We start from the raw sequence: 15,226 nt of genomic DNA on the forward strand, positions 1-15,226 counted from the left end.
ACCCCCCCGTGACCTTGTTAGTCATTTCCTGGGTGGAGAGGATGATCTTACTCCCAATATCGCAGGGAGTGTTCACACCCCTGTGAAAATTTTCCTCATATCCAGAGGGCGAGAGGATGATATTACTCCCAGTACTGCAGGGGGTTTACACAGCCCTGTGATACTCTTCCTAATATCCACAGGGAGAGAGGATGATATGACTCCCAATATCGCAGGGGGGGTACACAACCCTGTGATATTGTTCCTAATATCCAGAGCGAAAGAGGATGATATGACTCCCAATTTCGCAGAGGGTGTACACCCCCCTGTCCTATTGTTCTGAATACCCTGGGAGGGAGAGGATAAGGTGACATTGAATATCGCAGGGAATGTACACCCTCCCCCTCTGATACCCTTCCTAGTATCCAGGGGAAGAGAGGATAACTGTACTCCCAATATCACAGAGGCAGTACGCCCCACCTGTGATATTGTTCCCAATATGCAAGGGGGGAGAGGATGATACTACTCTCAATATCGCAGAGGTGTTCACATCCCCAGTGACATTTTTCCTAATATCTAGGGGAGAGACAATTACATGACAGCAAATGTCGCAGGGTCTGTACGTCCCTTCCTGATATTGTTCCTAATATCCAGGGGGGAAGAGGATGATATCGAATATGAAAGGGGGTGTACAACCCCCACCCCTAAGATATTGTTCTTAATATTCTTGAGGGGAGGTGAAGATATGACTCCAAATATCGCAAGGGTTGTTCACACCCCCCTGTGATACTCTTTCTAATATCCGGGGGGGGGAGAAAGTAACATGACTTCCAATATTGCGGGTGGTGTAAACCCCACCTGAAACATGGCACCGAATATCCAAAGAGGGAGAGGATGGCATTCATACCAATATCGAAGTGTGTGTACACGCCCCTTGTGACATGGTTTTTAATATCCAGGAGGCGGGAGGATGATATTAGTCCCAACGTCACAGAAGGTGTACACTACCCCTGTGATATTGTCCCTAACTTCCAGAGGGGAGAGGATGAGATCACTCCCAATATCTCAGAAGTTGTACATCCCCCGTGATATTGTTCGTCATATCCAGGGAGGCACAGGATGACATTCCATTGAATTTCGCGACAGGCATACACGCACACTGTGATATTGTTCCTAATATCCAAGAAGGCAGAGGATGACATTACTCCCAATAAAGCAGTGGGTGTACATTACCCCTGTGTTATTGCCTCTAATATCCGGGACCGGAGGAGGTGGGGAGAGGATAAGATTCCCTCCAATGTAGCAGGTGGTTTGATGCCCCTCGTGGTGTTGTTTTACATATCCAGCGGGGAAGACAATAATATTATTTTTGATAGTCCGATTCATCCGCTCCACCTTTCCGGAACTCTGAGGCCGGGAGGCGGCATGCAGTTTCCGTGTGATCCCCAATACTTTTGCCGTCTTCTGTAGCAAGTCAGCCACAAACGCAGGCCCGTTATCTGAGCCGATCCAGAAGGGCAGTCCCAATCTACGAATCAGATCTCGAAGAAGCACACGGGTTACTTCACGAGCTTTCTCAGTTTGTGTTAGATAAGCCTCCACCCACCCAGAGTAGGTACACCCAAGAACTAGTAAATACTTGTTACCTCCACACTTTGGCATCTCTGTGAAGTCTACCTGGAGATCTTCAAAGGGGGCCGCTCCATAAGCTTGTATGCCGGGTGGAATGGCTAGACCTTGCCTCGTATCATGCTGTCGGCAGCTGGCACATCACTGCCTCACTGTTTTGGCAAGGGCTGAGAAAGGCGAGATGTAGAAATACCGGCCTAACAACTTTTTGCAGTGACTCCTGACCTCGATGGGTGGTTTCTTGCACAGCCAGTACAACTGCAGCTCCTCGCAGCTGTGGCACAGCTACTCTCCCATCTGGTAACCGAATCCATCCTTCTTCCATCACTTGTCCCTCTACCTGGAGAAAGTCCTTTTCTTCTTTAGAATAAGCAGGTCTAAGATCAGGTGCTTGAGGGAGCAGAGGAGCTGTGACTGATGCCTGGAAAGGGGCAGATGCTGCTTTTCGAGCCTCTGAGTCAGTGCGGGAATTCCCCAAGCCCACCAAGGTGGAAGCTCGCTGGTGTCCCCTGCAATGCATAACTGCCACCTTGTGGGGTTTCCATACTGCTTCTAATAAATGGAAGATCTCTGGTTGATATTTTCTGCCTTTTCCCCCAGAGTTCAATAGGCCCTTTTCTTTCTAGCATGCTCCATGCACTTGAAGGGTTAAAAAGGCATACCAAGAATCAGTGTAAGTGTTGACAGTCTCACCCTCACTGAGTTCTAAGGCCCGAATGAAAGCAATGAGTTCAGCTTTCTGGGCTGAAGTGGCCTGGGGCAACGATCTGGCTTCAACAACAGTGTCCAGGGTTATCACTGCATACCCTGCAACTCTCTCTCCTTGGGGGTTGAAGAAGCTGCTCCCATGCACGTATAGTTCCCAGTCTACTGATGCCCAAGGCTGGTCCCGGATGTCAGGTCTGCTAGAGTCAACTGAGTCCAACAATTTTACACAATCATGCTCGACAGGGCTCTCTGATAGCGGGAGCAAGGTGGCGGGGTGTAGGGTGTTACAAACTTCAATGGTTATATGGGGATTTTCACAGAGCAAACTTTGGTACTTGGTGAGTCTGGCATTCGTTAGCCAATGATGTCCTTTAGTATTCATTAAAGTCACCACAGCATGGGGGGCCTTTATGTTCAGGTTCTGCCCAAGAGTCAGCTTCTTTGCTTCTTGTACTAGCAGGGCAGTTGCTGCCAAGGCCCTCAAACACAGGGGCCATCCTTTAGAGACCCCATCTAGTTGTTTGGAGAGGTAGGCCACCGGCCTCAGCCAGGGCCACACAGTTTGGGTTCAAAGTCCGGCTGCCATCTTTTCTCTCTCTCTGACACATAGGATGTAAAAGGCTTTGTCAGATAGGGTAGCCCCAGGGCTGGGGCTGACATAAGTTTCTCCTTTAACTCATGAAAGACTTGCTGTTGTTGGGATCCCCATTCAAAAAGTTCCCGGTCCCCGCCCCATTGGTGACCTCATACAAAGGCTTGGCTAATACTGCAAAGTTTGGGATCCGCAGTCTACAAATCCCACAGCTCCTAAGAATTCTCTCACCTGCCTTCTGCTCTTAGGCTCTGCTAGATTACAAATGACCTGCTTTCTTTCTGATCCCAAGCTGCGTTGCCCCTGTCGGATAGTAAATCCCAAGGAACGTACCTGCTGTAGGCAGATCTGAGCTTTCTTCTTGGACGCCTTACACCCACAGTCCTCCAGGTGTTGGCGTAGGGCAATCCATTCCCTTGGCGCACCGGACTGCCGTGGGGTGTCCCAGCAAAAGCTCATCAACCTAGCGGAGCAACGCGCAGCCTAGGTCTCTGGTGGGAAACTTCTGGAGGTCTCGAGCCCACGCCTCCCTGAAGATGGTGGGGGAGTTCTTGAACTCTTGGGGAAGCTCGGTCAAAGTGTACTGAGTAGTGACACCTGACTCCGGATCTTCCCACTGAAAGGCAAACAGCTTCTGGCTCTCCGGGGCTAATCTGATAGGAAAGAAAGCGTCTCTCAGGTCCAAGCAGGTGAACCAGCTGTCCTCGGCTGGCAGCAACCCCAACAATGTGGACGGGCTAGGTACTGTTGGATGGAAAGTCAGGGTAGCTTGACTAAGCAAGCGTGAATGCTGTCCCGGCCTGTAGTCCTTGGTCCATGGCTTGGGAACAGGCAGGAGGGGAGTGTTCCGTTGAGACTGACAAGGAACTATCATACCCAAAGTTCTTAGGTGCTTAAGAAGGACCTGGATACCTTGAAGAGCTTCTCTGGGGACCGGGTCCTGTTTTTGCCTAAGCGGCTGGGCCCCAGTCTTAACTGGCCAACCCTGGAGGGTTGTCTTCTGCCTGTACTCTTGGCCACCGCTTAGCCAGAGCTGGTCTTCTCTCTTGGCCTGGCTCAGTTCACAAAAGTCTCCATTCCTCCTCTCGGGGGACCGTAAGGGTCATAATGACTCCCGTGGTGGGTAACTTTAGCAGCAAAGAGCTGTGTTCTGTCAAAGAGAGAGCAGCTCTCAGCTTGCTAAGCAAGTCCCTTCCCAACAAGGGCAAGGGACAGCCAGGCATGTACAAAAACTGATGAATCACTTGATGTCCTCCTACAGTGCAAGTCCCAGGCAAGCAGAAAGCTTGCTTTGCTGAAACCCCCGTGGCTCTGGTGACGTCAATAGTCTTTCTGGATAAGGGGGCGACCGGGGCGGCTACTAGCGAATGTTCAGCACCGCTATCTACAAGAAAAACAATGTCTCTACCCTCGACTGTCATTCTGACCAGAGGCTCTTTGAGAACACTTGAGCCTGGTTTCCCTCAGTCCGATAACCCTTCTGCCAGGTTGAGCCGGGCCCCTTCCTCCTTGTCCGGGGCCTCCTGCTCTGAGTCACCTTGTTTTCTTTTGAGCTCAGGGCATTTGTTCTTCCACTATCCTATTTCTTTACAATAAGCATACTAGTGACGCTGCAAACTCTGACAGCCAAGCTGAGTTTCTTTCCCAGGGCCCCCCTTCCCTTGCTTCTTTGAGGGGACAGCTCTGATTGCTGCAGCTAACAAACAGGTCAGCGTTTCACCGGGCCTGACCTTCATTCTCTTTGCACTTTCCCTCGCGGCTTACTGCATCCCTGTTTACAAACACCTGCTTAGCTATTTCTCATCAATGTGATGTATTCATCCCTGCAAGCCCAGCCTGCTTCTGCAGTTTTCTTCTAACGTCTTCCGCGCTTTGACGGACTAAAGCCATGTGAATCATGCGCTGATTTTCAGGGTTATCAGGATCAAGGGGAGTATACATACCATAGGCCTCACACAGTCTCTGGTAGAATTGTGCTGGACTTTCTTCTTTTCCCTGAATGACCTCAGAGACCTTGTTAACGTTTGTGGCCTTCTGAGCTCCCCTCTTGAATCCTTCCAAGAGAGCTTCCCTGTCTCAGTTTAGCCTTTGCATATCCTCTCTTTCGTGTGGGTCCAACTGGGGGTGGGTTCCTGGTAACTGGGTCCTTCCATACTCTTGGGGTTTTTGATAATCAGCTGGTGTATGTTCCTCTAGCCACTTAGTTGCTACGTGGAGCCCTCTCCGCCTTTTGCCTTTCATCTCTCTTAAAGAGTAACATGAGCAACCGGTGGCGATCAGCCCAGGTGGGGTTGTGGGTCTGGATAACAGTTTGGAGCAAATCAATTAGTGCTTGCGGCTTTTCGCTCTAGGACGGGGTATTGTTTTCCCAGTTGAGAAGGTCGGCAAAGGTGAAGGGCTGGTACACAAAAACACGTCTCTCCACCACGTGACCATCCTCCTCTCTCCCAGTATACCGCTGCTCTCTCAGGGGCGTTTGGATCCCTGTTTTGGGTCGTAAACGGGTTGCCGAGGGAGGGGTGGAATGGCGCAATGTTACTTACCGCAATTAATAATCTCAATTATTAATTGATACTGATAATTATCAATATTAATAACTGATCATATAATTCTTAAAATCAATACCGATAATAATGATAATTCGTATTAAAGAGTTATACTCACGATAACAATAAATGATGAATATTAATGATTAATGACGCCTGGTCTTAAAGAGTGATATTGATCTTATTCATTAGAAAACTGTCATATTAGCTCCTAATAATTAACAGTAATATTAATAATCTGAACACTATTTTTAGCAATGATTTCTTAATATTAATATTAATATTGGTAATACATATTCATGTTATAAATGAGGAAGAATTAATATGAATATTATCCCTAATACCTCAGTGGGTGTACACCCACCAGTGATATTGTTCCTAATGTCCAGGGAGGGAGAGAGCATGATATGACGTTCAATATCGCAGTAGGTGTACACCCACCCGGTGATATTGATCCGAATATCATCTCCAGGGGGTGGCGTATGACGTTACTCCCAAGATAGCAGTGGGTGTGCATCCACCCGGTGATATTCCTCCTAATATTCCCGGAAGAAGAGAATGCTATTACTCCCAGTATCTCAGGAAGTGTACACCTCTTCTGTGACATTGTTCCTAATATCCGGAGGGGGAGAGGGTGATATTACTCGCAATATCGCAGGCTGTGTACACCCACCCTCTCATATTGTTCCTAGCAGCCAGGAAGTGAGAGGACGATATGACTCCCCATACAGCAGGAGGTGTACACCCATCCTGGGATATTATTCCTAACATCCACGGAGAGGAGAGGCTGATATGACTCCCAATATCGCAGGGGGTGTACATCCAGTCTGTGATATTGTTTTTAATATTCAAAGGTGGAGAGGTTGATATTACTCCCAATATCACAGAAAGTGTACAAACCTGTGTACTATTGTTGCTATTATCCAGAAGAAGAGATGATATCACCCCCCCATCGCAGGAGGTGTACACCCACTCTGTGATATTTTTTCCAATGTGCAGGGCAGGGGAGGATAATACTCTTCTTCATAGCACAGGGTGTGTACAGCCCCACTGTGATATGGTCCTTAATATTCCAAGGCGGAGAGGATGATCTTACTCCCAATACCGCAGAAAGTGTACACAACCCCAGTGATACGGTTCCCATGATCCAGGAGAGAAGAGGATGATGTTACTTTCAATATCGCATGGGGTGGACACGCCCCCAGTGATATTGTTCCTAATTTCAACGTGGGAGAGGATGATACTACACGGAATGCCCCTAGGGGTAAAAACACTCCTGTGATATTGTTCTTAATATCAAGGGGAAAGAGGATGCTATTACTCCAAAGAGCGCAGAGGATGTGCACCCGTCTGCGACATAGTTGGTAATTTCCAGAGGCGGAGAAGATATTACTGACAATAACGTGAACACGCTGTGTGATCACCGTGGATCGTCATATCCAGGGGGGGAGAGGGGGGCGATGTGACACCCCGCATCGCAGGGGGTGCCCGCCCCCCTGCGACGTGAATCGTCATATCCAGAGGGGGGTGATATGACTCCCCGCATCGCGGGGGCCTCACCCCCTTGCGATGGGGGTCCTAAGAGCCAGGGGGTGATAGGGGCTGGCTCTTACTCCCCGTACCCCGGGGTGGGGCCTCAACCCCTGCGATGGGGCTCCTAAGAGCCAGGAGGGGAGAGGGGCTGGCTCTTACTCCCGGTATCGCAGGAGGTGTGTACAACCCCTGCGATATTCGGAGTAATATCATCCTCTCCCGCTGAATATAAGAAACAATATCACAGGAGGATGTACACCCCCTGCGATATTGGAAGTAACATCATTTTCTCCCCCTCCGGATATTCGGAACAATATCACAGTGAGTGTGTACAGCCCCTGCGACATTGCCGCTAGTATGTTCCTCTCCCTCCCAGGATAGAAGGAAGAATGTCACAAGGGGGTGTACATCCCCTGCGATATTGGCTGTAATATCTTCCTCTCCCCCGCTGCGCTTTAGGAGCAATGTCACACAAGGGGTGTACACCCCCGGCTATATTGGGAGTGATATCATCCTCTCCGTCCCTGGATATTAGGAACAATATCCCTAGGGAGTGTACACATCCTGCAATATTCAGACTAATATCATCCTCTCGCCGCCTGGATATTAGGATCAATATCACAAGGGTGTTGTGCACCCCCGGCGAAATTGGAAGAAATATCATCCTCTCCACCTTTGGATGTTAGGGACAGTATCACAGGGGAGGTCTCTGCCCCCTGCGATATTGGGAGTCATACCATCCGCTCCCACCCCACGATATTAGGAACAAGATGACCGAAGGGATGTACACCCACTGCGCTATTTTCAATAATGTCATCCTCTACCCCCCGGCTATTAGGAGTAACATCATAGAGGGGTGTACACTTTCTGCGATATTGGGAGTAATATCCTCTCTCCCACGGATATCGGGAACAGTTCTATTAATTATTAATATTAATAAATATAATAACAATTAATAGTAATCATCAATATTAATAATTACAGTAGAGACAGTAAAACTTAGTACGGATGAAAAACATTAATGGTTACTATAAATAATAGTAATATCACTATTAATAATAAAATAATGATATCACTAATTAATGTTACTTCAATCATAAGTGATGTTGGTAATAAAACAATAATTAATATTAAGATTAATAACTAATATAAAAAGTGACATTAATAATTAATTTTAATCATGCATAATCATATCTTGAAATAATCATTAATGATTAATAACGTTATACTGTTAATTAATATTACCATTGATAATTATTAATAAGACTGATGTTTAATAATTCAGAATATTATTACTGCTAACACCACAGAGGGTGTACACCTACCTGTGATATTGTTCCTAATATCCAGGGATGGAGAGCATGATATTAATTTTCATATCGCAGTAGGTGTACACTCACCCTGTGACACCGATCCTAATACCCAGCGGGTAGAGTATGACATGACTGCCAACATAGCAATCAATGTACAGCCACCGAGTGATATCGCTCCTAATATTCACGGAAGAAGCATATGATATTACTCCCAATATCGCAGGGAGTGTACAACTCTTCTGTGATATTCTTCCTAGTATCCCGAGGGGGAGAGAGTGATAATAATTCCAGCATCGCAGGCTGTGTTCACTCAGCCTGTGAAATTGTTATTAATATCCTGAAAGGGAGAGGATGATATTACTCCCCATAATAGATAGATATGACTCCCCATAATAGAGCAGGAGGTATACACCCACCCTGTGATATTCTTCCTAATATTCAGAGGCCGAGAGGTTGATATTACTCCCAATATCGCAGAAAGTATACACCCCAGTGTGAGATGGTCCTTCATAATATTCCAAGGCGGAGGGGGTGATATGACTACGTATATGGCAGAAAGTGGACACCCCCCAGGGATATTGTTCCCATGATCCTGGAGGGAAGAGGATGACATTACTTTCAATATCACAGAAGCTGGACACGCCCCCACTGATATTGTTTCTAATTGCAACGTGGGAGAGGAGGATATGACACGCGATATCCGAGGGAGTGGAAACACCCCTGTGATACTCTTCTTAATATTCAGGGAGGAAGAGGATGATATTACTCCCAATACAGACGGGTGTACACCCGTCTGTGAAACAGATCATAATCTCCAGACAAGGAGGTGATATTGCTCACAATATGGTAAACAGGCTGTGAGTCCACCGCGGATCCTAAAAACCAGGGGGGGAAGAGGGGCTGGCTCTTACTCCCCACATCGCGGGGGGCGCCTCGCCCCCCTGCCATGTGAATCGTCATATCCAGGGTGTGAGAGGGGGTTGATATGACTCCCCGCGTCGCGGGGGCGCCCGTCCCCCTGCGATGTGGATCGTCTTGTCCAGGGTGGGAGATGGGGGTGATATTACTCCCCGCATGGGGGGGGGGTCGCCCGCCCCCCTGCGTTGTGGATCCTCGTATCCATGTGGGGAATGGGGGGTGATATTACTCCCCGAGTGGCGGGGACGCCTGCCCCCATGAGATATGGATCGTCATATCCAGGGGAGAGAGGGGGGTGAGATTATTTCCCGCATCGAGGGGGGCCTCCGCCTCCCTGCGATGTGGGTCCTAATATCCAGGGGGGGAGAGGGGGCTTATATTACTCACCGCATCTCGGTGGGCACCCTCGCCCCCCTGCGATGTGGATCGTAATATCCAGGGTGGGAGAGGGGGGCGATATTACTGCCCGCATCGTGGGGGGTTATTAATACCTTACTCCTGGGAGATTTTCTCTACTGCCACACTTGGTTGACACCCTGGGACATTATTTTCCGTATTTTGGGAAGATGCGACTGTTAAAATCACAGGAGGGATACACCCTGCGATGTTCGTAATATTTTAGGGGAATGTTAATCCTGATTTCACAGGACTCTGTACCCTGTTGTATTATTCATAATATCCTAGCGGGACAATAAAAAGAATGTCACAATGTGTGTACACCTTGGGGTGTTATTCTTAGTCTCCTAAGGGGAAGTTAGTTTATTGTCACACGGTGTATTTTCCCTTTGATATTATTGGTAATATACTTGGGGGATGTCACTCCTTATGTCACAGGTTTTCTACACCCTGTCAAATTCCTTGTATTGTTTTTAGAAGATGTCACTCCTCATATCACAGAGGGTGTACACTCTGTGATAATATCGTCATATTCTAGGGAAATGTTACTTTTAATGTCACAGAGGGTGTACACCTTGTCAAATTTTTCGTTATAGTTTTGTGGGATGTTACTGCTAATGTCACACGGGGTGTACACACGGTGATATTACGTGTCATATTCTCTAGAAATATTACTCGTATGTCACAGGTCCTATACACCCTTTAATATTCTTCATAATATTGTAGGAATAGGTGACTACTAATGTCACAGGGCGAGTCGGACCTGTCATAAAATTCGTAATATCCTTGCGGGAGTTCACTAGTAATTTCACAATGTGTGTACACCCTTTGATATTCTTCGTATTATCCTAAGATGTTACTACTCATGTCCCAATGCAGGTACATTCTCTGATATTCTTCATTATATCCTAGGGGGATGTTACTTCTAATGTCACACGGGGTGTACTCCCTGTGTTCTATTTCGTAATGTCCTAGGACAGTTTTACTTTTAATGACTCAGGGGGTGTACACATTGTGATATGATTCGTGGTATTCTAGAAGGATGTTACTCCTAATGTCACAGGGGTGTAGACCCTGTGAAAGTATTCATAATTTTCCAGGGGTCTATACTCCTAATGTCACAGAAGATAACACCCAGTGACATTATTCATAATATTCTAGCGAGATGATACTCCTAATGTCACAGGGGGTGTACACCCTGTGATATTATTCTAAGTATTCTCGGGGGATGTTACTCTTAATGTCACACGTGTGTTCCTTCTGTGATATTATTGAAAATATGCTAGCTGGATATTACTACTAATGTCACAATGCGTGTACACCTTGTGATATTATTAGTAATATTCTGGGGGGATGTTACCCCTAACGTTACAGGGGTGTACACCATGTGATATTGTTCCCAATATTGTAGGGGGATGTTACTCCTAATGTCACGGGAGCTGTACACCCTTCGATATTATTTGTAATCTTATAGAGAGATATTACTTAAAGTATCATAGTGGGTGTACACACATGGGGTACACCCACTGGGATATTATTTCTAATATCTTCGAGAGACATAACTCCTAATATCACAGTGGGCGTACCCCATGTGTTTACACCTGTGATATTCTTTGTAATATCCATGGTAAACATGACTGCTAGTATCCCACAGAGGGTACACCCTGTGATATTATTCACCATATCTGAGGGAGGTATAACTTTTAATATCACAGTGGGTGTACAAACTGTGATATTATTTGTCATATCGTAGAAGTATATTATTCCTATTGTCACAGGGGTTTCACATCCTGTGAAATTATTTGTAGTCATCCAGGGGGATGATTATCGTAAAGTCGCAGGGTGTGTACACCCTGTGATATTCTTCTTCATATTCTAGGGGGATGTGACTCCTCATGTTGCAAATGTGTACACGCTGTGATATTATTCACCATCTACTAGCTGGCTATTGTTACTAATGTCACAATGTGTGTACACCTTGTGATGTTATTCATAATATCCTAAGGGGATGTTCCTCCTGTTGTCACAGGGGCTGCGCTTTCTGTGCTATGATTTGTAGTATCCCAGGGGATGTTACTCCTACCATACAAATTGGGTACACTTTGTTATATTATTCGTAATATCCTAGAGTGATGTTACCCTTCATATCACGGGGGTGTTCCTCCTGTGATGTTATTCTTCACATTCTAGGAAGATGTGAACCCCTAATATCACAGAGCGTGTACAATCTGTGAAGTTATTCATAATAGTTTTGGGGGATGTTACTCCTAATGTCACACTTGGTGTATAAACCGTGATATGATTTGTCAAGCTTTTTTGGATATGTTAGTCCTAATCTCACAGGGGCTGTACACCCCGTGATATTATTCATAATATCTTAAAGAAATATTACCACTAATATCACAGGTGGTGTACACCCTGTGGTATTATTCCCGATGTTGTAGGGTGATGTTACTCCTAATGTTACAGATGGTATTCACATTCTGATAATACTCGTCATACCCTAAAGGGATGTTACTACTGATGTCACAATGCACGTACACAATCTGATATTATTTCTTATATCCTCGGGCAATGTTGCTTCTAATGTCACATGGGGTGTACACTTTTTGATTTTATTCGTCATATTTTAGAAAGATGTTACTCCTAATGTCACAGAGGGTGTACGCCCTGTGAAGTTATTCATAATAATTTTGGAGGCTGGGACTCCTAATGTCACCCGTGGTGTACAAACAGTGATATTATTCGTAATATTTTATGGAAATGTTACTCCAAATGTCGCAGGGGCCTTACACCTTGTAATATTATTCATCATAACCTAATGAAATGTTACCTCTAATGTCACAGGGGGTGTACACCGTATGATATGGTGCCCAATATTGTAGGGGGATGTTACTCCTAATATTACAGGGGGCGTTCACACTGTGATAATATTCGTAATATCCTAAATGGATGTTAATGCTAGTGACACGACGCGTGTACATCCTCTGTATTTGTTCGTTATATCCTCGGGGGAGGTTTCTCCTACTGTCACATGGGGTGTACTCTCTGTGATATTATTCAGAATATCCTAGGTGGATGTTACTCCTCGTGTCACAGGGGCTGTGCATTCATTTTGTGATGTTATTCACAATGTCCTAGAAGGATGTTACTCCTCAGGTCACAGGGGATGTACACCCTGTGATATTATTCATACTATCCTAGGGGATGTTACTCCAAATGTCACAGAAGGTGTACACTCTGTGATATTACTTGCAATGTGCCAGGGAAATGTACTCCTAATGTCACAGGGCATGTGCACCATGTGTGCACAGCCCCTGTGATGTTATTTGTAATATTCTTGAGGGATGTTAATCCTAATATTCCATATGCTGTTAACCATGTGTGAACACCTTTGTGGTATTATTCCTAACATACTAGAAAGATGTAACTCCTAACATCACGTGGGGTATAGGCCATGTGCGTACACCTTCTGTGATATTATTCATAACATCGTAGGGAGATGCTACTCCTAATTTTACAAGGTGCGTACATTATGTGTGTACACCCCCTCTGATGGTATTCGTAATATTCTAGGGGAATGTTGCTGCTAATGTCACAGGGAGAGTACACCATGTGTATGCAACCCTGGTAATATTATTTCTAATATCTTGGGGGGGTGTTGCTCCTAATGTCACCTGGAGTGTACAGCATGTGTGTACACCTTCTGTGATATTCATAAATCACAGAAAAAGATTACGCCTAATGTAACAGGATGTGTACACCGTGTGCATCAACCGCCTTTGATATTATTCGTAATATACTAGGGGGCTGTGACTTTGAATGTCACAAAGAGTGTACAAAATGTCACAGGGTGTGTATGCCTCATGATATGATTCCTGATATCCAGAAGGATGTTACTCCTAAGGTCACGGGGGTGCACACACTTCGATAATATTTGTAGTCTTATAGGGAGATTTTACTGTAAATCTCACAGTGGGTGTACACTATGTACACTATGTGTAGACTGTGATATTATTTGTAATATCTCAGATACTACAGAGTTATAGCTCTCCGTGTTATATTAGAATTATATCTAAGACAGTACAAATAATACCACAGTGGGTGTACCTCATGTGTGTACACCCTGTGATATTATTTGTAATATCCATGGTAAACATTACATCTAATATCACAGAGAGTGTTCTCCCTTTGATATTTCTCATACTCTCATAGGGAGATATTGCTTTTAATGTCGCAGTGGGTGTACACCATGCGTGTACATTCTGTGATACACCTTATATCCTAGGGAGATATCTCTCCGAATATCAGTGTGTGTACGCCTTGTGATATTCTTCATATCCTAGAAGGATGTTACTCCTAATAAGACAGAGGGCGTACACCCAGTGATGTTCTTTGTAATATCCTAGGGAGATGTTACTCCTAATGTCACACGGGGTGTACACCCATGATATTATTCCTAATATTCTAGGGGGATGTTACTTTTAAAGTCACAGGGGGCGTACACCCTGTGAGGTTGTTCGTAATATCCTAAGAAGATGTTGCTCTTAATGTCACATGGGGTGTACACCCTGTGATATTACTCGGAATATCTTATGGGGATGCTACTCCTAACGTCACAGGCTGTGTACACCCTGTGATGCTATTCGGAATAGCCACAGAGATGTTACTTTTGATGTCACAGACAGGGTCCACCCTTTGATTTTTTTATCATCTTAGGGAGATATGACTTCAAATATCACAGTGGGTGTACACCCACTGTGATGTTATTCGGAATACCCTAGGGAGATATAACTTTTAATATCACCGTGGGCGTACATACTATTTGTGTACACCTACTGTGATATTATTCCTAATATCCTAAAAATAAATAGGACTCCTAATATCACAGTTGGTGTACACACTGTGATATGAGTCGTAATATTCCAACAGGATGTTACTCCTCAGGTCACAGGTGGTTAATACCCTGGGACAGTATTCCTCATATTCCAGGGCGCTGATACTCCTAAAGTCACAGGGTGTGTACCCCCTGTGATATTATTCCTCCTATTCAAGGGGGATGTTACTCCTAATGTCACAGGGATGTACACCCTGTGATATTATTCATAGTATACCAGAGGGATATTAGTACGAATGTCACAATGCGTGTACATCTTGGCATATCATTCGTATTATCCTAATGTCACAGGGGGTGTGTTCCCTGTGACATTATTCCTAATATCCTAGACGGCTATTTCTCCTAACATTACAGGGTGTGTACACCTTGTCATATCATTCATAATATCCTAAAACTACGTTATTCCTCATGTCACAGAGGGTGTTCACCTTGTGATATTATTCGTAATTGTTTTGTGGGATGTTACTCCTAATGTCATACAGGGTGTACACAGAGTCACACAGTGCTATGACGTGTAATATTATATAGAAATGTTACTCGTAAATCACAGGGGCTGTACCTCCTGTGATATTATTCGTCATATTCTAGGGGAATGTTACTATTGTCACAGGGGGTGTACACCCTGTGACATTACTCGTCATATCCTAGCGGGATGTTACTACCAATGTCACAATGCGTGTACACCCTGTGATACGATTTATAATATCCTAGAGAC

The 15,226-nt window shown here is 45.3% G+C and overlaps 1 long non-coding RNA gene and 2 other non-coding genes across 3 annotated transcripts in view, besides 1 other annotated feature; 1 reads left to right on the plus strand and 2 right to left on the minus strand.

The window, feature by feature from the left end:
* The window catches only part of CZ1P-ASNS (CZ1P-ASNS readthrough), a 120,242-nt gene that overhangs the window by 97,848 nt on the left and 7,168 nt on the right, over nucleotides 1-15,226 (minus strand). The window lies entirely within an intron of this gene.
* Nucleotides 6,979-7,479: an enhancer, noted in NCBI's record as "H3K4me1 hESC enhancer chr7:97586255-97586755 (GRCh37/hg19 assembly coordinates)". NCBI's record gives its function as "activates a minimal SCP1, AML or CMV promoter by ChIP-STARR-seq in primed H9 embryonic stem cells {active_cell/tissue: H9 hESC(primed)}" and the evidence as "EXISTENCE:reporter gene assay evidence [ECO:0000049][PMID:30033119]".
* MIR5692A1 (microRNA 5692a-1) lies at nucleotides 13,694-13,762 on the plus strand. The gene has a single exon (NR_049875.1). It is a non-coding gene; the product is annotated as a microRNA 5692a-1 (primary transcript).
* MIR5692C2 (microRNA 5692c-2) lies at nucleotides 14,441-14,517 on the minus strand. Its single transcript, NR_049868.1, has one exon. It is a non-coding gene; the product is annotated as a microRNA 5692c-2 (primary transcript).

Source organism: Homo sapiens, chromosome 7 (assembly GCF_000001405.40).
Source record: "Homo sapiens chromosome 7, GRCh38.p14 Primary Assembly".
Taxonomy (NCBI): Eukaryota; Metazoa; Chordata; class Mammalia; order Primates; family Hominidae; genus Homo; species Homo sapiens.